Here is a 25,864-nt window from a genome sequence, read left to right on the forward strand (position 1 = left end):
ACCCATTGGACACATTTTTGGCTTTTTTTAAGAGACAGGGTCTCACTCTGTCACTCAGGCTGGAATGCAGTGACGTGATTGTAGCTCAGTGCAGCCTCCAACTCCTCAGCTCAAGGCATCCTCCCACCTCAGCTTCCCAAGTAGCTGGGACCACAGGCATGTGCCACCACAGCTGGCTAACTTTTTTGTAGAGATTGGGTCTGGTTTTGTTGCCCAGGACATATTGGACACAATTTTGACAGACCCAGTGGCTACTGCCATAGCACAATGTGGTAAACAGAAGAACTACAAGGGACATGGGATGGGCAGATTACTTCTGGTATACCTGTTAGATCTGAGACAAAAAAAGATAGGTTTAGAGATTTAAATGCCTAGTAGAAGCCATGGCTACAGGACAAGAGAGTTTCTATGACTGTCACACACTGATTATCTTACCTCTCATATCCACAGTCTGGACCTCTGGATTTCTGGTTTACAATGTGTGCTGAATGCATGGCTTCACCAGGCTTCTGAAACGGCCTAGAAGCAATGATTGACCCAGCAGCAATGAGCAACCTAGTGTCTAGATTATGGTCTCTAAATGCCATTTTCCAGTATAATGAACCTAGGTTCTTTGGATTCCAGTTTGGGGACATAAAATATGTAAGATGAGCTGGAAACGTGTTTCATACTAAACAACAGGGAAGCTATAAAAGGCTACTGGAGTCATATCAAAAGGACACTGAAAATTAAAGGGGCTCTCAGGCTGGGTGCAGTTGTTCACACCTGTAATCCCAATACTCTGGGAGGCAGAGGCAGGAAAATTGCTTGAGGTCAGAAGTTTGAGACCAGCCTGGGAAACATGGTGAGACCTTGTTTTCACAATTTTTTTTTTTAATTAGCTGTGTGCCTATAATCCTAGCTACTAAGGAGGCTGAGGTGGGAGAATCACTTGAGCCCAGGAATTTGAGGTTGCAGTGAGTTATGATCGCACTGCTATATTCCAGCTTGGATGACGGAGCCAGACCTTGTCTCTAAAACAAACAAACAAATAAACGAAAATTTTAAAAAAGGGCTCCCACTGACCAATATAGGACAATTTATCAAAAATAATAGTGACTATGATTGATTTTAATATATCTGTTAGAAACCCATGTGTTTATATTGCTAATAAACAAAGAACCAAAACTCATTAATTACCTTTGGAAGTTCTAGGTAACAATGCATTACCCCCCAAAAACTGGTAAAAACAACGAAAGAATAGAACATTTATCCTGCCTTTCCTATATGAACTGTATTTCCTGTTAATCAGATAGTTGATGAGAAAAGATCTTAGAACTATAACTAATAAATTCAGAAGTAATGGAGGACATAGAAGATCAACATTCTGCAAACATCTAATGAAATCATGGACCCAGAAAATTATGCTCAATGGCTACTCAAACTAATAGATAAAAAAAGAAAGCTGAATGGAATGTTATAGAGGAGATATCAGGCTAATAACACCTGAACCCACTCATTAAGTCATCAAACGGGAGATATCCAGAAATTTTATGTTTTCTGATGTGACACAATAGGAAATATATAGCATCGCCTGTGATGGGTTACTGTCAAAAATTGCTCCTGAATGTATCACTCTCTGGATATAAACACCCATTTATAGAATAAAACAGCCTACAGACCACCATGTTAAATCACATTACGGAAAACAATCACGAACAAAAGGACAAATAAGTTACCTGGTTTCTTTAATGAATAGATAGCAAGATTTAACAAAGAGCAGGCTGAAATTGCTGTATGTTTTTTACAACAAAGTTTTAAATTTAGAATAGTTTTAGATTTACAGAAAATTGTAAATATAGTATGGAGAGTCTCCATATGCGCCTCACCCAGTTCCCACTGTTGTTTGCATTTTATATTACCATGACACGTTTGCGACAACAAAAGAACCAACATTGCAACATGACTGTTAACTAAACTCCATAGTTTGTTCAGATTTTACTAGTTTCCCCCTAATGTCTTTTTTCTGCTTTTCAAAATGTTTCTTAATTTGGGTTTTTCTGATGTTTTTCCATGGTTAGACTGGGGTCATGGGTTTCGGAAGGAAGCATGCAAAGGTGAAGTGCTGTTCTCATCACATCTTTGTTTCTTTATTATTATTACTATTTATTATTGAGACAGGGTCTTGATCTGTCATCCAGGCTAGAGTCCAGCAGCACAATCACAGCTTACTGCAGCTTCAACCTCCTGGGCTCAAGTGATCCACCCACCTCAGACTCCCTAGTAGCAGGGACTACAGGTGCATGCCACCGCTCTTGGCTAACTTTTTGTCTTTAGTAGAGATGGAGTCTCACTATGTTGCCCAGACTGGTCTTGAAGTCCTGAACTCAAGCGATCCTCCCACCTTGGCCTCCCAAAGTGCTGGGATTATAGGCATGAGCCACCATGCCCAGCCACCATAAAATTTTACCAAACTACGTTCTGCAAACATGACTTATCATGGAATAATGTTAACCTTGACCACCTGGATGAGGCAGTGTTTCCCAGGTTCTCCACTCTAAAGTTAGTGTCCCTCTCTCCTTTCCATAATCTACTCTCTGGAAGCAAGTCACAAAGAGCAGCTTACACTCAAGAGTGGGGATATGGAAAGAGTTAAGCTATACCTCTGAGAAGGAGGATTATCTACATAAAACATTTGGAAGTCTTCTATTTGTTTCCTCATCCCCATCTATTTTTTCAATTATTTATTTAAATCAATATGGACTGATGGGTATTTATTTAATACTTTGTGTTACAGTCAGTACTATGCTATTTATTTGGGTGCTCAAATGCTTCTAGCTTTGACCTCTAAAAGCTCCTTCAGGTTGACTCCTTTGTCCTTCTAACATACCCTCATTTTTTGTTTTCTGAGCACTTCCTTACATTCTGGTAATACAAGATGCTCCAGATTAATCTTGTGTATATCCTGCCCAAGACTTAGAATAAATTATTTCTCCAAGGAGCCCCGGTTTCCTTTATTGGAGAATGGTATTAGAAACAAAGACCTGGGTGCTAGAGGTACTTATTACTGGAATGTCACTGCCTTTAGGTCCTCTTGGTAGACAGAGTTAGGGAATATATGAATGTATACTGACCCATAGAAACACATTTATGATTATTTCTGTATCTATTCATCTGTGCATATATTAGGCTAAATATGAGTTTGCACTGATTCTGATCCAATCCTAGTTTGTTCTAGTCCTCTGCCTTGTTTATCCATAACTTTTCTTTACAATAGTAGGAAACATGGCTCCCACCGCTTAACATTTATTTGCTCAACCTCCAAAATAAATGTACAATCACTGCAGAATTATTAACCTTCATAAACTCTATGAGAAACAACTTTTCCTGGTAGAATACACTATTTATTTACTGTTCCATTTGTTTTTAGTCTTAGAGTTTCCAGTCAAAACATGGTTTCCCAAAGTTAATTAGATCAGTTCATTTTCCCTGCCTGCTTCAGTGAGGTTATGTCACACATTTGTAACACAGTTAAGCTCTTTTATCACGGTCTGTTTTCCATCGTAGGCTCTTCCAATCCCCTGAATAAATTTTTTTAATTTGCATGCATTTAGGTTCACTTCTTATGCTGTAAAGTACTATGGGTTTTGACAAAAGTATAGCCTCATGTATCTACAACTATAAGATCATATTAGTTCCATCACCCTAAAAATTCCCTGTTTCCCTGTGCTTCCCCTAGTCAAATACTTTCCCTGCTATAAAACTCTAGCAACCACTAGTCTGTTTTCATCCCTACAACTTTGCCATTTTAAAAATTCCATTTCCCTGTGCTTCCCCTAGTCAAATACTCATCCTACTATAAAACTCTAGCAACCACTAGTCTGTTTTCATCAATTTTATTATGTAAATTAATAGCTCATTTCTTTTACTGAGGAATAGCATTCAATTGTAAGAATACACCAGTTTGTTTATTCAAACCCCCTTGGTTGCTTCTAGTTTTTAGTGATAATAAATAAAGCTGCTATAAACTTTCATTTGCAGGTTGTTATATGGATATATAATTTTGAATCTATTTTTTTAATTATACTTAAGTTCTAGGGTACACGTGCACAATGAGCAAGTTTGTTACATAGGTATACATGTGCCATGTTGGTTTGCTGCACCCATCAACTCGCCATTTACATTAGGTATTTCTCCTAATGCTATCCCTCCCCCAGCCCCTCAACCCCCCGACAGGCCCTGGTGTGTGATGTTCCCCTCCCTGTGTCCATGTGTTCTCACTGTTCAACTCCCACCTATGAATGAGAACACGCGGTGTTTGGTTTTCTGTCCTTGTGATAGTTTGCTGAGAATGATGGTTTCCAGCTTCATCCATGGCCCTGCAAAGGACATGAACTCATTCTTTTTTATGGCTGCATAGTGTTCCATGGTGTATATGTGCTACATTTTCTTAATCCAGTCTATCATTGATGAGCATTTGGGTTGGTTCCAAGTCTGCTATTGTGAATCGTGCTGCAATAAACATATGTGTGCATGTGACTTTATAGTAGCATGATTTATAATCCTTTGGGTATATACCCAGTAATGGGATGGCTGGGTCAAATGGTATTTCTAGTTCTAGATCCTTGAGGAATCACCACACTGTCTTCCACAATGGTTGAACTAATTTACACTCCCACCAACAGTGTAAAAGCATTCCTATTTCTCCACATCCTCTCCAGCACCTGTTGTTTCCTGACTTTTTAATGATCCCCATTCTAACTGGCGTGAGATGGTATCTCATTGTGGTTTTCATTTGCATTTCTCTGATGACCAGTGATGATGAGCATTTTTTCATGTGTCTGTTGGCTGCATAAATATCTTCTTTTGAGAAGTGATTGAATCCATTTACAAATTAGTAATATCACAAATGAAAGTGGGACATCACTATAGATAATACAGATATTAAAAGAATAACTCAGGGAAATACTATTAACAAATTCATACCAATAAATTTGACAACTTACCTACACTGGACAAATTCATCTAATTACATGCACTACCAAAGCTCACTGAAGAAGAAATAGATAATCTCAATAGCTGTGTATCTACTAAAAATAAAATTCATAATTAAAAACCTTCCCACAGAAAAAAAGAAGATAGCTTCACTGATATATTCTACCAAACATTAAAGGGAGAAAACTTACCAATTCTACATAAAGAATTCCAGAGAATTGAAGAAGAGGAAATACCTCCCAAATTATTTTCTGAGGCCAGCATTATCATGAAACCAAGATCAAAGACATTATGAGAAAAGAAAGCTACAAACCAAAGTCCCTCATGAGTATAGATGCAAAGATCTTTAACTGAATATTACCAAATCAAATCCAGTTTTGTGTAAAATGGTAATGCATAATATCCAAGTGGGACTTTATCCAGTAATGCAAGGTTGGTTCAACATTTGAAAATAATTCTGTGTAATATCAGCATGTTAACAGACCAGAGAGGAAAAACCATACAATTATTAAAGTAGATGTTAGCAAACACATTTGACAGATTTCGGCTTAATTCACTACAGTAATTCACCAGCAAACAAGGAGAGGAAGGAAACTTTCCTGACTTGATTAAGGGCACTTTTTAAAAGCTTATATTTCATGGTAAAGGCTGAATGCTTTCTCCCTAAGATTTGGCATGAGGCAAGATGTTCTTTTACCACTTTATTCAAAATTGTGTTAAAGATTTTACCTTGAGCAACAGGGCAAGACAACTTTTGTTTCAAAAAGAAAGATAGCCAGATTGGAAGCAAAAATGTCTTTACTGGTAGATAACATGATCGTCTACATAAAAAATCCTAATGAATCTACAAAAAATTTACTAGAATAAGTGAGCTCAACAAGATCACAGTAGAAAAGATCAATATAAAAATCAAATGTATTTGTTATACTAGAAATAACCATTCCAAAATTGAAATTTAAAAAATACTCTTTACAATAGCATAAGAACTTACAAAAATACTCAGATGCAAGCTTTTAAAAATGTAAGTGTGAGACCTGCACATGAAGAAATAAATTTTAAAATAAATAAGGAGCTATACTATGTTAATAATTTAGAAAACTCAGTATTAAGCTGTCAATTCTTCCTGAATTTATCTATAGATTAAATGTAATTCTTACCAAAATTCCAGCAGATTTTCTGATGAAAATTGACAAGCTAATTTTAAAATGTGTAGGAAAATGCAAAGGACATACAATGGCCAAAACAATTTGAAAAATAACAAATTTGATCTTTTTGATAACTCCTGTTAGTTGATTTAAAGGCTTACTGTAAGCTACAATAAGCAAAACGTGGTAATATTAGTGTGAGGACAGATGCATCGATCAAGGAAGCAGAATAGAGCCTAGTAATAGATCCACTTACAAAGGGTAAATTTATTTTCGACAAAGATGCCAAAGTAATTCAATACACAAATAGTGTTTTCTTCAAGTGGTACTAGAACATTTGGACATTCATATGCAAAATTGTGATTCTCAAACCATCTCATACCATATACAGCAACTAATGTGACATGGATCATAGACCCAAATATAAGAATCAAAACTGGAAGACTTCTAAAACAAAACATAAAAGGAAGTCTATTTTCTTCCCTTTGGACTAGGCAAAGATTTCTTAGGCAGGGCAAAAGCAAAATGAAATAAAACAAAACAAGGCTAACCTTTGAAACAATGAATGAATTGGACTTCATCAAAACTGAAAGCTTCCGGTGTACAAAATATATTTTTAAGAAACAAAATGATAAGCCACACACTGTCAGAAAATATGTCCAAAATGTATATCTGACAAATGACCTGTATCCAGGATATACAGGGAACTCTTACAACTCAAGAACACAAACAACCCAATTAAAAGTAGGAGAAATATTTGAACAGGCATTTCACAAAAGAAGGTACAGAAATGGCTAATGATCACATAGAATGGGATTATCATCACTATACAGGGAACTCTTACAACTCAAGAACACAAACAACCCAATTAAAAGTAGGAAAAATATTTTAACAGGCATTTCACAAAAGAAGGTACAGAAATGGCTAGTGATCACATAGAATGGGATCATCATCACTAGTCATGAAGGAAATGCAAATTAAACCCAGAGGGAGATACCATTATACTCCCACTAAAATGGCTAAAATTAAAAGGACTGACAACATCAAGTGCTGTAGAACACATGAAGCAATGGCATCTCTCATTTTTGCTGGTGGGAATGCAAATACAGTATAGTTCCTTTGGAAAGCAATTTGGCAGGTTGTTATAACATTATACATACACATGACATAAGACCCAGAAATTCCACTCCTGGGTATTTTCCCAAGAAGAGAGAAACACGTTCACACAACACCCTGTATATTTAACCATATTTATTTATAACAGTCCCAAACTGGAAAGTACCAGAATGTCCATCAATCAGTAAATGGATGTTGTACATCTATGCAGTGCAATACCACTCAGCCATAAAGTGAGATAAGCTATGGATAAATGCAACACCATGGACAAATCTCCTAAACTATGCTAAATTAAAGAAGCCAGACACAAAATACAGCATATTGCATGGTTCTGTTTATAAGACATTCTAGAAAAGCCAAAATGATAGGGAGAGAAAGCAGAGCAGTTGTTCCCAGGGAAGTGAGTTAGAGGGAGAGATTTGACTTCAAAGGGGCATGAGGGAAATTTGGGATGATGGAGATGGTCTCTGAAACTTCCCTGGGGTGATGGTTACACAACTGCAAACCCTTGTCCAAACCCATCCAACTGTATATGTTAAAATAAACATGATCTCCCGCCCAAATTTGACATACTCAGCAAAGACTAAGTCTATAAAACAAGAATTAAAGCAGTAGTTTTAATTATTTCATAAAAACACATCACAAGGGAACATCACACACTGGGGCCTGTCATGGGGTGGGGGGAGGGGAGAGGGATAGCATTAGGAGATATACGTAATGTAAATGACGAGTTAATGGGTGCAGCACACCAACATGGCACATGTATACAAATGTAACAAACCTGCACATTGTGCAGAACTTAAAGTATAATAAAATAAAATAAAATAAATCACAACTTGTTATAACACTATAATTTCAGGATGGGCTGGTATGATATATTGGTGCAGAACATGGATATAAAAGTCAAGCTGACCTTAGTTCAAGTCCTGTCTTTACCATTTACTAGTAGAGTGACCTTCTGCTAATCACCCTGTACTTCATTCAGACCTCACAGGATTACGGTGTGGATTTAATTGTGCACTTTAACCACTTCATAATTGCCAGTCTCATAGTGAGTATTAAAAAAGCTTTAGTTACTTGAAGAACATTTAGAAACAGCCTAGGTGGGGAGACATACATGTCAACAAATACATTACAGTATCATGTGAAAATAACAAATAGAGCAAGTGTAAGGTACAGCTATAGCAACGAATGAGAAATGCTTCCCTCTGTCTGAAGAAGCTAATAAAGACTTTTTGGAGGAAATGATGACTAAGTTAAAATTTGAAAGATGAATAAGTGGTTTTCAGGCTGATTAGGGGAGTGAAGGGCTCAAAATGTCATGGTGTACTTGGAGAATGCTGAGCAGTTTGCTATATTTTTGAACAATGACAGAAGCTATTGTAGTAGGAAGCAGTCAGTCAGAACAAGAAAGATCTTGAGTGTCAATTTAAGAATCTTGTTGCATTTCATCATTTGTGTGTTAGAGCTATTGGAGCCAGCAAGGACACAGACAAATTAAATTTGCATCTTAGAATGATTACTTTGATTGTCTTGGAGAAGATGAATTGAAGCTAGGATGAGTCTAGAGGATGGAAGACCTGCCAGAAGGCTTGTTAGATGAATTCAGGTAAAGGACAGTGACTTTCTGTACTTGGGCTATGGGAATTGGAAGGTGAGAATAAATTCAAGAAACTTTTAGGGGAATCCAATAATTAACTGCATGAAAAGGAGAATAAGTCTAGGATGCCTGTCAGACTTGGTGGTCTGTTTGGGTAGAACACCTGTTGGTACCCCTAGATAAATGGAAAAACATGTCTATACTGGGAAAATGATGAGTTTAGGTGGGTAGTGTTGATGACTGAAGTGCCTGTGGGTATCCAGGTGGAACTGTGTAGCAAGTAGGATATATGGGTCTAGAGTTCAGTACCGGAGTCTGATGAGGAGCTACATATGTGCAATAGTTGAAGTCACAAATATAAATAAGATCACCTAGAAAAGCATATAGTGTGAAAAGAGAACAAGGGACAGATCCCTGGGAAATTTCAACATTTAAGATTCTGTAAAAAAACCACAATAGGGCATATATCCCTATAAAATCCCAGCTACTCAGGAGGCTGAGTCAGGAGGATTCCTTGAGGCCAGGAATTCAAGACAAGCCTGGGCAACATAGATAGACCCTGTTGTATAGAAAAGATCTTAAATGATGGTCATAAAAGAAAGTAGGAGGAAGATCAAGAGCAAGTAGTACCAAGGAAACCAAGAAAAGAGTTTCAAGAATGAGGTGTCATTGAGTATTATATACAGCAGCAATGTCAAGCAAGATGAGGGCTAAGAAGCATCCAATGGATATGGATAGTTTTAGTGCTGGGATGAAAACAGGTCACTATAGTCTGAAGAGTGAATAGGAAGTTAAAAATATGTAAGTATCTAATGCTGGCTACTTTTTTTGAAAAGTCATGACCAAGAAGAGAAAGAAAACAATAGGATAATAGTTAGAAGGAACAACAACATCAAAGGGATTTTATTTGTTTTTGCTTTTTAGATGAGGCATGGGAGGGGCTTCAACATAATTATATACCAACAGGAAAAAACGTGGAAGACAGGGAGAGGCTGAAAATACAGGTGTATATTATTCAAGGTCCAATCATATAACACTTGATGACGCTTATATTCTTGAAACTCCCTCCTTAGTTTCCTTGATGCTACTTGGTCTTAATCCTTTTCCTACTTTCATGACCATTACTTAAGATCTTTTCTATACAGAAGTCACACCGGATATTTGACCATGGAAAACTGAATACAAATAATTGTTATAAAGCTGTTTATCAGGCAATTTAAATGGTGAGAAGAGAACATAAGATATATAAAAGTAGCAATTATAAGAAGCATCTATCATTCTTAGGACTGGGAGACCAACAGGGGCCGGTAGGAGACGGAATTTGCAAAGTCTAAGAGGAGAGGGAGAGACTTTTTGCTAAAGGCAATCAAAAAATATTTTATGAAGATGGCATTTGAGCTGGGCTTAATTAAGTGGAAATGAGAGAATATTTCAGGTATTGCACATGACCTGGGAAATAGAAGCTACTTTATAAATATTTGTTGAAAAATGAAGTGATGAACAGATAAGCAAGAAAATCTAGAGAAAAGTGTGGAAAATTTCGGGAACAGTAAGTTTGGCTGGAGCTTGGATGGTGGAGATCGGTTGAAAATGTGGTTGCACAGATGGAGTAGAGATGGAGCAGACGGTCTTAAATTCCAGGCCAATGTGTTGAAAATTTATCTTAGGAAGCCGCTGACATTTGAGTAGGGAAGTGACAAGACTGGAACGATGATTTCTGGATGGCCGATTTGCCTGTGATACGTAGAAAGAACTGTAAGCAGAGAGCAACTGAATTTCTCAGCCAGAAGGCCAAAAAATGACGAGCTGGATTGAAGTGACAATAAGGATATGAGAAAGGGAACAAGCAGGAAACAAAATGTAAGCCGCCAAGAAGTGGCTGAAGTGATGACTGTGGTTGGGGGGCATGGGAGGAAGAAGGGAAATTGAAGCTCCTTCTGAGTCTAGGCAATTGGAAGAATGGCAGGAAGAGGAAAGAAAGAGGAAGAGAACGGGGCTTTGAAGGGCCATGAGAAGTTCTGTGGAAACGGATTGGACATCCTAGTGCAAAGAGATGTGGCAGTGCAGGTCTGCAGCTTAACGGAGCCTGGGCAGGAGGTGGCTGATGTGGGTTTCATCTGCATAGAGATTCCGGCTGACGCCTCTATTTGGAAGAATGCAATAGTATTTGCGTATTTGAACCCACAGCCAGTCCTTGGGCCAGAAACTGAGGCTGAACTGCCTCTTGATTTACAGCTTCCACCCCCAGTTTCCATTCTCCCCTAAAGCACTGGATTCAGGTAATCGCGGACGCACTTGGCTCCTCCCGCACTGGCCGCTGCCCTCGGCGGGACAATGGGCGCCCTAGCAGCCCCGAGCGTTCCCAGGGCGCAGGCGCGGCGCGGCGTGGCGTCGCCTAGCAACGAGGCACAACAAGGGACTGGGGGTTCGTCTGCTGGGTTTGCGGAGCAGCTAGCTACTCGGCGGGATCTCCCGGCAGGTAAAGGTAACCCCGTGGGGTGGGGAGGCCCAAGGCAGAGGCCTGAGGAAAACCTGGGAAAGGAGAAGGTGCCACGTGGGCGCAGACTGCTTGGGTCAGTGAGGCAACACCTTGCTGGGCGTTGTTAGTTTCTGCCTCGCGCCCGCAGGGTTAGACGGGGCTTGGGGTGGGTTTCGTAAGCATCCCGCCACCTCCCATTCAACAGGTGACAAAACTGAGGCCCGAGAGGGGATCTGAGGTGAGATCAAGTCAGATTCCGTTACTTGACTGTGAGCAACTCAGAAGTGGCCTCGATTTCTTGAGCCCTCCTCCTCTTTAAATCTTCTCAAAGCAGAACTCATTAGAAAATATTTAAAATCATAGGCTGAACGTTCACGAAGAACAAATACAAAGGACCAATCAACTCGTGAAAAAAAAAATGGCTCCAGTAGTCAAGAAGATGCATTTTTAGAGCAGAGTTGTTTGCATATCCAATGCCCTGAAGTTTTCACCCAGTTAATTTACTGCTAGAGATTTATCCTAAAGAAATAGTTGGGGATAATGGATGAAAATTTTATGTCCAAGGACGTTCTTTCAGCCCTGTCCATATTTCCAGAAAATTAGAAACAAATTTCAACAATCAGAGACTGGCTAGATAGCTAAGGGATTTTAAAATATTTGTAATGGCATGTTATGCTAATCCACTGGAGATTATTAAAGCAATGAAGGGAAACTGAGACTTCATGAATTTATTTGTTAATATAAGAATTTAGTAGGAATATGAACCCAGGAAGGGAAGGTGAAAGTAGGGGATAGAAGTTGAGGCAGGATGTTAAAATCACTTTAGAAAAACACACAAAGCCAGGTACGGTGGCTCACGCCTACAACCCCAGCACTTTGGGAGGCTGAGGCGGGTGGATCGCCTGAAGTCAGGAGTTCGAGACCAACCTGGTCAATGTGGGGAAACCTGTCTCTACTGAAAATACAAAAATTAGCCGAGCGTGGTGGCGGGTACCTGTAATCCCAGCTACTCAGGAGGCTGAGGCAGGAGAATCTCTTAAACCTGGGAGGTGGAGGTTGCAATGAGCCAAGATCAGGCCACTCTCCAGCCTGGGCAACAGAGTGAGACTCTGTCTCAAAAAAGAAAAAGAAAAAGAAAAAAAGAGAAGAGAGAGAGAGAGGGAGAGAGAGAGAGAGAAAGAGAGAGAGAAAGAGAAAGAAAAAGAAAAAGAAAGGAAAGGAAAGGAAAGGAAAGGAAAAGAAAAGAAATAGTATTGATCTCTCTGAGCTTATCTTTGGGTGATTTTTATTTTATTCGTTGTGCCCTTGTTTTCCAAATTCTCCACAGTGAAATGTATTACCCTTGTAAGGATCATCTCCATAGCTCATTGCCACCGACCTATGTCAGCTGTTCAGTCTCTCCTCCATTAACTATCATACCCAATATGGTGATAAAACACATAGGCTTTTTTTGGGGGAGGAGACAGAGTCTCGCTCTGTCACCCAGGCTGGAGTGCAATGGGGTGATCTCAGCTTATTGCAACCTCCGCCTCCCGGCCTCAAGCAATTCTCCTGCCTCAGCCTCCCCAGTAGCTGGGAATGCAGGCACATGCCACCGCCACTCCAGGCTAATTTTTGTATTTTTAGTAGAGACAGAGTTTTGCCATGTTGTCCAGGCTGGTCTTGAGCTCCTGACCTCAGGTGATCCACCCGCCTCAGCCTCCCAAAGTGCTGGGATTACAGGAGTGAGCCACCACGCCGGGCCATGATAAAACACATAGGCTTTTAACTTCATTCTTTAGCTTAGGAGACACTCTATCATTGCAATACTGTCTGTGTAAGCTCTTCTAACCTCTGCACTATGCAATTGCTCAAAAACACTATCCTGAAGTAGGAAAAATTAGTTCCTAAGTGAAAATCAGATGATTTAAAACAACTTTATGCAGGTGTAATTAAATTGCTTCCTGAATATTATTCATAAGCAATTATTTTATAAATCAAAGGCTGCTCTGTCTTGGAATTGGTTATAGAGTGCTATAAACTCTCTCTTTTTTTTTTCCTAGAGATTAATTGTAGGATAGATTCTCATTTGCCCAGAATAGTTTCTGCCTCTCTGCCTGAAATATTATAGGCACAAGGTCTAGGGCCTGTTCACTTTTCAAGCACCTAAGGAAGATGTTTGAGATTTGAAAAAAATGCTTATATTGGCTCTAAAATATGAAAAGAGAACTGAAAAATTAGTGTTAATTAAATGTTTTATTAATATAAATTTTTATTACATTTGAAAACAATTTTCTCATTTTACAAGAATTTCCAGGTGTATGTACTGATTGCTGAGTAATTTCAAATACAAATTTCAAAAGTTTTTATGATGCAAATGACATTTAATGGGCGATGCAGGCACATTTTAACATTTTAATATATTGGCTATTGTGTGAATAAGCTTGCCCAGGCCCTCCAAAGTCTTAAAAGTAGTGTGGTCTGAAGTTAGAGACCTAGAATAAATGCCTTTCAGAAGTATCTAGGAGTTTCTATGAAGACGTGGCTTTTTAATGTATGTGATAAATTCTGGTCAGTGTCTCTAATGCTAGGAGTTGCTTTTGACCCTTGACATGCAATTTGAGCTAACCCTGACACTGTAGATTCTCCCCAAGGATTTTCTACTTCCTAGGATTTCTACTGAGACTATGGTAATTTCCTTAAGGCTATGATATACCGTTTAAGATTGCTCCTACGATATACCGTTTAAGATGGCCCTGATGTCAAACATAATTCCACAAACTCTCACTGAAGAAAACTAGATAGATTTCCTGGGTTATTCTAATAGACATTAACATCTTGAAAAGTTTCTTTTTTTTTTTTGAGACAGTCTCACTCTGTTGCCCAGGCTGGAATGCAGTGGTGCGATCTCGGCTCACTGCAGCCTCCGCCTCCCGGGTTCAAGTGATTCTTGTGCCTCAGCCTCCTGAGTAGCTGGGACTACAAGGCACGTGCCACCACACCCGGCTAATTTTTGTATTTTTAGTAGAGACAGGATTTCACTGTGTTGGCCAGGATGGTCTTGAACTCCTGACCTCGTGATTCGCCCACCTCGGCCTCCCAAAGAGCTGGGATTACAGGCGTGAGCCACCTGCCCGGCCTGAAAAGTTCTTTGAACCCAGGCTGGTTACTCCTCTGTGGTATGTTAACTATGTATAAATTCCATTCCTTTCACTTTTTCCACACAGACATGGACATATGAGGACAAGTGGAAAGGAAGTAACCTCAGTTTCCCCAGAATATATCTCTTCAGATTTTTTAATTGCTTTTTTACTAAGCTGTGGATTATGAAAGAAAACTTTTTGTTATCCGGGCAAAGGACACAAATGTTGATTCAAGACCTGGTAGATTTTGTATACCATTTATGAGATCATTACTCCTAGGAAAAATGGAGTTAATGAGGTTTATAAATATCAAATGCCAATTATGTACCAGACACTGTTGTAGGTATTTAGGATAGATCAGTGCAAGAAAATAGACAAAAACCTCTGCCTTTGTGGCACAAACATTCTTGCAGGTCTCAAAAGTAACTTGGTGGGCTTAGTCTCTTAAGCCCATCATAAGCAAGCTATAAAAATGGTAAATGATTTCTTGTTATTTAAGTTATGCCACTAATATATTCACCTCCTTTCTAAACTGAAAGCCAGGACTAACACTCAATGATCTTATCAATAAGTTCCTTAAAATTGCAGAGTTTGAAATTGGGATGTAGGTGACATATTTGTACATATGTGATAATTTTTACATGTATTGCATTGTGTTTTAGGAGGTAAAAATTTAAAGGAGAAAATAAACCTCCTCTCAAGGGCACAGGTAATTGAGAAATGTATGTGCAAATGTCACTTTAACCATATATTGCATCTTTTTCCAGGATGGGTAAAAAGATAAAGAAGGAAGTAGAGCCTCCTCCTAAGGATGTGGTAAGTTTCTGATTTGAATACTAGTAGCACTTTAACAACCAGTTATAAAAATAAATTGTTCACACAGTTTGGCATGTACCAGTATATACATGAATACGCGGTGGCAGAAGTCCAAAGTCTGACTAATGATAAGATTAGTCAGAGAAATCTAACATTACATAAACAAACATTTACAACATTGTCATTATATAATTAGCACAATTAGAGAGTAATTATTAGCTTTTCCAGTATGTAGATGGCATGTTTATAGCATAGTTAATGAATAAATAGTTTGGGTTGTTCTTTTAAATACTTACCATTTACATTTGCCAGCCTCTCATTTATGTTAATTAATCAAGTGAATTTTCAAAAATAACTGGAAGTTCTGCTATAGCTATTAGATATGTATATAAGGTTGTCTGGTGATGACCACTGCACGTGAGAAGTCCCTATCCTTTCCAGTTCTATCGAGAGACTAGTCTGGCATCATCATTTTTATTCCAAATGCTAAGTAATTCATTCCCCACTGAAAGCTCTTCTCTGTCTTTAAAAACAGGATTTTATCTTCTCTCTTTAAACTTTATCAATTATTGAAAGGTTGTGTTAAAAGTGAAAAATGACCTTGGACAATTTGCAGTTTAGAAACTTATTTTGAAACAGACATTTGGTGTGATTTCCTTCAGATAAATCAGGAATAGAAAAGAAATAAGTGGAGTCCACAGACTCACAGCAATTTCAAATTTGAAGGAAACTGGGCTAATGGCAGAAATCTGCCCCCTTGGGAGCTTTGTGGTTAAGACACTGGGGGCCTTGAGCCAGCTCTGCCTCTTACCAACTGTGTCATTGTGGCCAATTTGCCAAATTTGGCCAAGTTATTTCGGTTTTTCTTTAGCTCCTAAATGGGAATCATAATATCAAACTCGTTCCCGTTGTTGTATGAATTAAAACAAAATAAGTTACATAAAGGTCTTAGTGCTTGGCACGTAGCACTTGGAAAATAAGATCTATTATCATGAGAATCCTCTGGACTCTGCTTCTGAGACACACAAACACACACTTGCACCCCTGTGCAATCCACTGGGTATGATACTTCAATACAGTTGGGAACAAAATCTACAGAAGTGCCTGTCTTCCCGGGTCCAGGAAGGCTTTGCAGGGGTAGACATTGTGATCTCATGATGTTTCATCATTCTGGCTGCTTCTCTTAGGACATATTCCTAAAATGTTGCAGATTCTCTTATTTTTTTTTTCATTGCATCCAAGGTTTGTATCACTCCCCTTTTTGCTACCAAATAGCATTAATGGCATCTGATTAGCAAAAACATATTCTAATAAAAATTAGAATTACGGGGCTAATAAACAATAGATGTATATGGCTAATACACTTTCTATAACTTCATAATGTCTTGCTGATATTGTCCTCTGGACTCCAATCCTTGGGGACACAATGGAGAACTTGAGAAACACAGTCCTAGCATTAACAAAATAGAACTCCTGCTTCCTCAGCTCCCAACAGCCTTGGAGGTAGCCAATGGCGGGTGTAACATTGACCAATGGTCCTTACTTTTCCCTGCCTTTCCCAGGGGACTTCTACTCTGACTATAAAACTGACAGAGTGTTGGGAGGCTGAGGCGGGCGGATCACGAGGTCAGGAGATTGAGACCATCCTGGCTAACATGGTGAAACCCCGTCTCTACTAAAAATACAAAAAATTAGCCGGGGGTGGTGGCAGGCGCTGGTAGTCCCAGCTACTCGGGAGGCTGAAGTAGGAGAATGGTGTGAACCTGGGAGGCGGAGTTTGCAGTGAGCTGAGATCCCACCACTGCACTTCAGTCTAGGCAACAGAGCGAGACTGCATCTCAAAAAACAAACCAACCAACCAACAAACAAACAAAAACTGACAGAGTGGTATTAAAATAATATCTAAGCCCTTTTCTACAGTATTTGTTTTCATACTTCAAAGCAGTATGCCACAATTTACAGTATCTTAACCTGGAACTTGTTCCAGAATATACCTCTAAAGTCAATAAAGGTTTGTTGTACACATTGTAAATGAAAACCACATTTAAAGAGAAATATAACTACTTAAGAAAATAAACTTTTCTCTGTCAGCCAATAGTAATTTGCTTCTTATATGTTTCCTAGAAATATTGTTTCCAAAGACCTTAATTTTTATCAGGCTTTCCTCTATAGTTTAAAATGAGTAATAAAGACAGTAAGAAAAGTGTTGGTATTAGGATTAGAACAAAAAGCTCCCTTTGCTTTTCTGAATATTCTCATTTGTCATAACATTAATATATGCAGATATAGTACTGATTACATTTCCTTCTCATAAAAGAGACACTAGCTAAGAAGATGCCTACATATGGAAAAGACACGGCTTGATCTACCAATACAACTATATTCTTCCTTTCCAAATCATTTCCATATCTGGCCAAAAGGTTGTTTGTGGTGCTTTAACAAAAGGAAAATTTACTGTGGAATATTGCATAAAAGAATTCCTAATAGAAATGACTCTACTAGGCATGATTTAGTATAAGGCGAGATATTCAGTGTCTAAGAGTACCGGTTCTGGGGCTATCTTGCCTGAGTTTGGGTCCTTACTCCATTATCCACTTATGCCCATCTATGAACTTGGGTGAACTTTCTAACCTCTGTGCACCACAGTGAGGATGTGATACTGCTTAATTCATAGGAATACCCACTCACATCAGTGAAGGAAGGTTAGATCAATGTAAAATGCTTAGAACAGTGCCTGGCATTAGGTAAGAGCTTGGTAGATGTTATTATTATTAATGATATAGTTGAGGGTGCTGTTCATCATTCTACAGAACTGAGTAAGTTTGTATGAACTGTCAAAGGAGACAGGGAAGTCAGGGATGAGGCATGGACGACCAGCTGGCCACTGAAGTCCCCTGAGGCCTGGTGTGTGGCCATCATGATTTACGGTCAGATCTTTGAGTTTGCAAGCATGGAAATTGTAGTCTTTTAATATTTCAGAGGTGATTGAGCTTCAGTGGATAAAGCCACAAGCTCTAAATTCCCAAGAGACTATGACCTGGCCCTGGAATCGTAATGATTAAGTATCAAGTTAACTGAACATTTATGTTAATGAGTCAGGACTTTCTTTCCTTAGTTAAATGCACACAGGAAGCTAAGCAGGGTGAGTATAGAATCAGAGCAATGGAAAGTAGTGCAACATGCCCCCTCAGCTGCACAACCAAATCTAATTCCTGGGAAGAGGGTGAGGTCTCCTGAGTTTTCCTGGACCTCCTTCATCAATCTCAGAACTCAACCTTTCATTCTTTGTCATAGACTGACAACACTACTATGGACTTTAAAAAATAAATAAATAAATGGCCTGTGCTTGCCCTATTGGACAGCACAGAATCAGAACATTTTTATCATTGAAGATCTATTGGACAACACTATTCTAGACAGTATTATTCCTTAACAGAGACATAAAAATATTCTAGAAGCCTATGGCCACTCGAATTGACTGGGCTTAGAATTCAAAGCTTAGCCAAAATGCCTCCATTTACTTTCATTCTTTTTGTAAATAATTTTGTTTTATCATTTATTTTGCTATGTAAAGAAGTTATAAGGACTTCTTTTCCCATCTTTCTCCCTCCTGACAGCTAAACACTATGAATTAATAAAAAATATAAATTCATAAACAATATACATATATAAAACAATATGGATAATTTTCAGCTTGCTCACCTTACTCCAAAAGTTTGCTACTTTGATCAGGTTATAAAGTAAACTAAAAGGTATTTTAGCTACTTTCATTTTAATCTTTAGACATTTTAGCAAATTTTTCCGGATGTCTAGATATTCTCTATTGAAAGTTCCTATTAGATGAATGCTGTCTACCTCCTCCTGTTTATCTATCTCTGTCTTTTCCTACACAATTAGCACCTCATGATCTGGGACCACTGATGTAGTAAACATATTGAAATAGAAATTGTGAAAGCTTTTTATTTGTACTTATCGGCACCATAAAAATCACTCAACTGTGATGATTTATTTTCACTGAGGTCATCTTCATAATTTTGTATTTTTTTTAGACCTGTGCTAATACTCCAGCCACTAGGCACATGTGGTTATTAAAATTTGAATTTATAACGATTAAAATTATTAGTTTTAAAGGCCAGGGGCAGTGGGTCACATCTGTAATCCCAGCAGTTTGGGAGGCTGAGGCGGGAGGATCGCTTGAAGCCAGGAGTTCAAGACCAGCCTGGGAAAAATAGCAAGACTTTGTCGCTATTTTTTAAAAAAGAAGTTAAAAATTCAGATTCTCAGTCCCATCAGTTACATTTCAAGTGCTAAAGAACTGCTTGTGGCCTGTGACTACCATATTGGATAGCACAAAATCAGAACGTTTTCATTGCTGAAGTTCTGTTGGAAAACGCTATTCTAGACAGTATTATTCCTTAACAGAGACATAAAAATATCTCTAGAAGCCTATGGCCACTCTAATTGACTGGGCTTAAAATTCAAAACTTAGCCAAAATGCTTCCATTTTCTTTCATTCTTTTTGTAAATAATTTTATCATTTATTTTGCACAGAGCATGAAATTATAATTTCTCAATGAGCTTGTTGGTGACTGACTTTCTCATGGGAAAGCAGATGGGATATGTAATGACAGCACAGTATTATTTATTTAGTCATGTGGCACTCTGTTATAGCTATCATTTATTCTCAGTGCCCTTTTTAATAAAAAAATTACTATAATGGTGCAGGCTCTGTAGGAGAAACAAATGTCATGCCAAGTTTCTCTATTCTCTGCCAAACATTTGTATTTCTCCTTTGTCAGCCTATTGGATTGCAACTCTTACAGTCTCAAGCTTCCCTTTAAGCTTCTCATACCCCATATTATCTTTTTTTCTTTTTTGAGATAGGGTCTTGCTCTGTCTCCCAGGCTGGAGTGCAGTGGCACAATCATGGCTCACTGCAGCCTCCACCTCCCAGCTCAACTGATCCTCCCTACTCAGCCTCTTGAGTAGCCGGGACTAAAGGCATACACCGCCATACCCGGCTAATTTTTGTATGTTTTGTGGAGACAGGGTCACACTATGTTGCCCAGGCTGGTCTCGAACTCCTGGGCTCAAGAGATCTTCCCCCCTCGGCCTCCCAAAGTGCTGTGATTACAAGCATGACTCACTGCACCTGGTCTTTAAAATTAATTTTAATTATTATAGATTCACACTTAAATAACCACATGACTATTAAATGATATTTACTAAAGCTTATGTTTAAATGTATTTTCGTATACTCTACCTACTCCTCTGAGACTTGTTCTTCTGTGGTGATCATGACATACCCATCCTTAACCATAGTATCCTTATTCACACACTTATATAATCAGCTTTAAAAATATAGAAACATGTGAGGTCTCTGGGGTGAAAGTTCCAAGAGGGAAGGGAAATCTGTTTTAGATGTGGGTTGGTGGAGAAGATGGCCAGCTGGGACATGAGGGGAAGTGCCCTAAGTGGTGAAGATGATCTAAGGCTGTGGTTCTTAGGAGTTTGCGGGGCAATCAAGGAACCTTATGAAGGTAGGTTGGGATCTGTGGAAACTCCTCCTTCTGAAATGTACTCCAAGTATTTTGCATATGATTTCACATAGAGAATGTACCTTCAAAGCCTACTGATAGCTCCATGGACCTCAGATTTAGAGCCCTCTCTCCTGACATCAGCAAACAGTACACAGTTAAGGCACTTTAAGGCCACAAGCATAGAAAAAGTTTCCAGGGGCACTTTAATACATTCCTTTACAGACATTTTCCAAGTACTACCATCACCCCAGTATTGTTCATAGGTGATGGAGACAGAGAAACAGCATGGTCCTTTGCCTAAAGAAATGTATTTATTTGCTGGACAAATATAGAGTGCCTACCATATGCAAGCATTCCTCCACATCCTGGGCATAAAGATGGGGAGAAAGGAAAGTTCAGGCCCCAAGGCAGCTTATATTATAGTGGGAGAAACAGTCAATTAATAATAATATAATTCAGGTAGTGATACGATCAATGAAGAAAAATAAAGTATGATATGGTAAGGAGTGTGATGGGGCCTCTTTAAATAGAATCTTGGGCAGGCCTTCTTGTGGGATCTCAACCAAAACACACTTAAATGAAATGAGGGGGTAATCTGTGCAAATATCTGGGAGGGGACCCCAGCCAGACCACAGTAACTAAAGCCTCATGCAGTGTGTTTGAGGAATGCCAGGAAGGTTGGTGTGACAGGAGATTAGTGAGCGAGGTGTAGGATGGGGTCACAAAGATGGAGAGATGGTGGTGACCACGTAGGACGTTAGGTTATGTTAAGCAAGTTGGATTTTTCCCTAAGGTGCAAAAAGGAGAATTCGTTGGAAGGTGACAAAGAGAGTAGTAGTGACATCTGATTTATATTTAAAATAAAAAATAAGATCGTTCTAGCTACAATGTGGGAGAAACATGAAAATTGGAAGACCAGCTTGGAGGTTGTCACAGTAGTGCAGTTAAGATACAATGGCAGCTTGGACCCAGGAAGTCACCGTGAAGAAGATGAGATGTGGCCAGAGTGAGGATGAGCTCTGAAGGTCGAGCTGGCAGGATGTGCTGATGGGTAGGACGTGGAGTGTGAGAAGGGGACAAGTTGAGAGATCAAGCCTGAGCAATGGAGTGAATGGAAGTACAACATACTGAAATAGACATGTAAATCAAAGACATAATGCAGTGTGTTAAATTCAGAAAAATAACAGCTGTGGAAGAAGAGAAAGAAAAGCAAGCAAGCAAGCCTAGTCGCCCAAGGAATTTCAACCCCCAAACCACCATGAATAAAAACAATAAAAAGTGTATCCAGAGAGATGGAGGCCTGACAATTAAATACACCATAACTCTCTATAGTTTCAAGTATTATTGTATTATTTTCTTTAGAAATGAAATAAAACTCTCAAGAAGTCCTGGGTGACATGTGACATGGTGCTCCCAGATGGTGGCTTTAGTGAGAACTATTTTGGTAAGTCACTGAGGGTGAAAGTAAGATTGGATATGTGCAGCAAGGAGCTAGAGTAAGAAAAGTAAGTATTTGTAAGGTTTTTGATTGTGAAAGACAAGGAAGGGTAATGTGTACAGAGGATGATTACTATCTAAGGACAGTTGGTTTTTATTTTAAAATAAAAGAGCTTCAAGAAATCAGAGTTCAAGGAGGATTAGGTGGCTGCAGTTTGCAGGGTAGAGTACCAAAAAGAAGAGACCAACATACAGCAATAGCTCCAGAAATCCAGTTAATGGTCCTCTGGATTCTCTGAAGTCTAATCTGTATGGGGTGGAACTCCACCTGGCAAAGGACATGCATGAACAACTCTCAGGGTGCCGTTAAGTCAAACCCTCTCTAGAGCTCACACCGGTCTGGGAAGCATTGTAATTTGCTTGGAAGGCATGGAGGGTCTTATTGAATACCTGGGGCATTAATAAGAGTCCCCAGAAAAGTCATGCGTTAATAGTCGTGTGGCTAAACTATCCAGCCCTATAGAAAAGGTTTCTCTAGTCCTGCCCTACCTAATAAAGCTTAAAAACGGGCTTTAAATAGATTAACCTGATCCATAAGTAAGATAACTGCCTGCCAGAACAAAATTCAATATCCTTTAAGGAACACTTCTCCTCCCCCAGCCCCCAAAAGAATCTAGATGCTCAGCTACATAATTTTCACAATGCCCAGTATCCAATACAAAATTGTTAGGTGTGCAAAAAAGGAAAATGTGACCTATAACCAGGAGAAAATCAGTTAATAAGCTAATAGAGGAGGTAAAATGGGATACTAAAAAAACCCAATCAACTGAAAAAAGGCAGAATAAAAGGAACAGGGAGCAAATGTGACAAAGTGAAAACAAATAGCAAGATGATCAATTAAGACCCAACCATATCAACAACCACATTGGATATAAATAACCTAATATTCCAACAAAAAGTGATTGTCCAACTGAGTAAAAAAGCAAGACTCAACTCTCACCTGTCTATAAGAATCCTCCTTTACATATAAAGGTACACATAAAAGTAAAAACATGAAAAAAGATATATACCATGCAAACACTAATCATAAGAAATCTGCAGCACCTATGTTAATACCAAATGAAATACATTACAATTGCAGGACAAAGAATATTGCCTGAGAAAAAGATGGACATTTTATGATACAAAGGTTTATTTTTTAATGGTCCTAAGTGTTATGCACCTAATAACACAAGTTTAAGATACATGATGGCAAAAAAGGCTATGCGATAGCATAAGAAACAATGAAATACTTAGACACTAGTTTAACAAAATAAAATCAATACCTATATGCTGAAAACTATAAAACATTTCTGAGACAAATTAACTAAGACCTAAATAACTGAAGAGATAAAAGTACTATGTTGGATACAGATACATTGCTGGCAGGAATGCCAATGGTAGAACTACTTTGGAAAAATAAATTGTATTTTTTTCTTTTTTTGAGACAGGGTCTCACTCTTTTGCCCAGGCTGGAATGCAGTGGTATGACTGTAGCTCACTGCAGCCTTGAACTCCCTGGTCAAGCGATCCTCCCACCTCAGCCTCCCAAGTAGCTAGGACTACAGGTGCATGCCACCACACCTGGCTAATTTTTTCACTTTTTGTAGAGACAGGGTCTCACTATGTTGCCCAGGCTGGTCTTGAATTCTCGGCCTCAAGTGATTCTCCTGCCTCAGCCTCCCAAAGTGCTGGGATTACAGGCATGAGCTACAGTGACCCAAAATTATATTTTCTTATAAAGTTAAACATGCACTTGCCAGACAAGCCAGAAATTTTACTTCTGGGCATTTGCTCAAGAGAAATGAAAACATTTGTCCATAACAAGACTTGTATAAAATGTGCATGGCAACTTTCATACATAATGGTTCCAACTTGAAACAACCCAGAGGTCTATCAACAGTTGAATGGATAAACAAATCGTGATATACAATGGGATACTACTCAGCAGTAAAAAGAAAGGTAAAAACAAATGAGATCCATGAAACATGGATCTCAAAAATATTCTGCCACATGAAAGAAGCGTACACAAAGGGTCCCTATGTAGTAATTTCATTACTACTAAATTATAGGACAGGCGAAACTGATCTGCAGTGGAAGAAAGGAGATCAGTGGTTGTCTGGGACCAGTCATAGGAGGGGAATCAACTGCAATGAGGCAGGAGAGAATGTTGTGGGGCATGGAAACTTTCACATATTGCTTGGAATGGTTGGTTATACAGATGTGTATGTTTCTTAAAATTCTATACAGATGTATACATTCCTCAAAACTCATCAAACTTACACTGAAAATTACTGCATTGTATTACATCTAAATTGGCCCTCTGTAAGCTGGATTCAAAAGAAGTAAAGGAAGAATTTAGTTGACAGGGAGGAGTTGACTACTCATGAGACAGAAGAGATTATTAATAATATAAAGTAAGATGAGAATGTGTCCATTCTGTGAGAATAGGAGATTGAGTTATCTAATGTGCTATTCTTAGCGTCTGGCACTTAATAGGGATTCAATAAATGTTTATTAAATAAATGAATTAATGAAGGTGAATGAGTTAAAAAGCCAAAGCACCTATTAGGGATTGGCCTTGGATATTTTCTCTGATGTAATAGAACATGTGCAGATATAGGTAGATTTGAATCTGCAAGTTGGAAGTTGATGGAGTTTCCATCTGGTAACTTTATTTTTTCTGAAAATTTTGCTGGGTGAGGAGGAAAGAAAGGGGGAAGTAAGAGTGTTAAATGTTCAAGGATAGTAGAAATGTTTGAAATAATTTTGTTCTTTTGAGAAGGAAAAATCAAGTTTACAAAAGAAATGTAGAAACCTGGTTTGCAGTGAGGCCCTCTCAATTGCTGGTCATGAATTTATAATGATACTAATTTTCTTCTAGTTTAACATTCTTTGAGAATGGTTGGACACTTGGGTATAAATGCAAAGAAGAAAATACTAGTGTTCACTTGTGGTTTGGGTTTGAGAAGATTCATCTGATGAAAAGACAGAGAGACAAGGAGGTTTATGCTTTAGCAGAAGTGTTATTCAGATAATAGAACATGCAATCTAAGCAACTTAAGAGGGGAATAAGGGAGAAAGCTGATAAAGGGAGAGAAAACAGAGGGAGTAAATGGACTGGGGATCCAAATGCAATTGAAGAATCTCTGTAGTGGGAGTAGTTGAAAAAGTCAAGTTGTATCTTTCACCACTTGCTGGTTGGCTACCAAGAACCCCTCAGAGCCTGAACACTGTGGGTGCGGCAGGAAACCCATCTATGGGCAGATAGAGAAAAATTAATGTATTCTCAAGCATAATAGCAGAAGACAAAGCTGAATGATAGATGGATGCTACTGAGTCAGAATTAGTAAAAGAGACAGGAGAGAACTTTCAAAAGTAATGAGAACACTTCTCTTCTGCCTAGGATATAGTGGTAGCAGGCAGCAGCAGGCATTTCTCCAGCTACAATAACTATGAAAAGCAGATGGATTTAAAACTATGATTGAAGAGCTTTGGAAAGGCAAATTAAAAAGACTGATAATACCAAGTGTTGGTGAGGATGTAGAGCAAGTGGAACTCTCATTCATAACTGGTGGGAATGTAAATTGATAAAA

The 25,864-nt window shown here is 38.6% G+C and overlaps 1 protein-coding gene across 10 annotated transcripts in view; it reads left to right on the plus strand.

Annotated features, from left to right (window-relative positions):
* Positions 1-11,260: 11,260 nt before the first annotated feature.
* Positions 11,261-25,864, plus strand: part of ARMC3 (armadillo repeat containing 3) — a 110,471-nt gene continuing 95,867 nt past the window's right edge. For all 10 annotated transcript variants that reach the window (NM_173081.5, NM_001282745.2, XM_005252380.4 and 7 more), the window contains exons 1-2: positions 11,261-11,314; positions 15,204-15,252. In NM_173081.5, coding sequence (NP_775104.2) covers positions 15,205-15,252 — 48 coding nt within the window. In that variant the 5' untranslated portion in view covers positions 11,261-11,314; position 15,204. The remainder of the gene's footprint in view (positions 11,315-15,203; positions 15,253-25,864) is intronic.

This window comes from Homo sapiens, chromosome 10, assembly GCF_000001405.40.
Source record: "Homo sapiens chromosome 10, GRCh38.p14 Primary Assembly".
Taxonomy (NCBI): domain Eukaryota; kingdom Metazoa; phylum Chordata; class Mammalia; order Primates; family Hominidae; genus Homo; species Homo sapiens.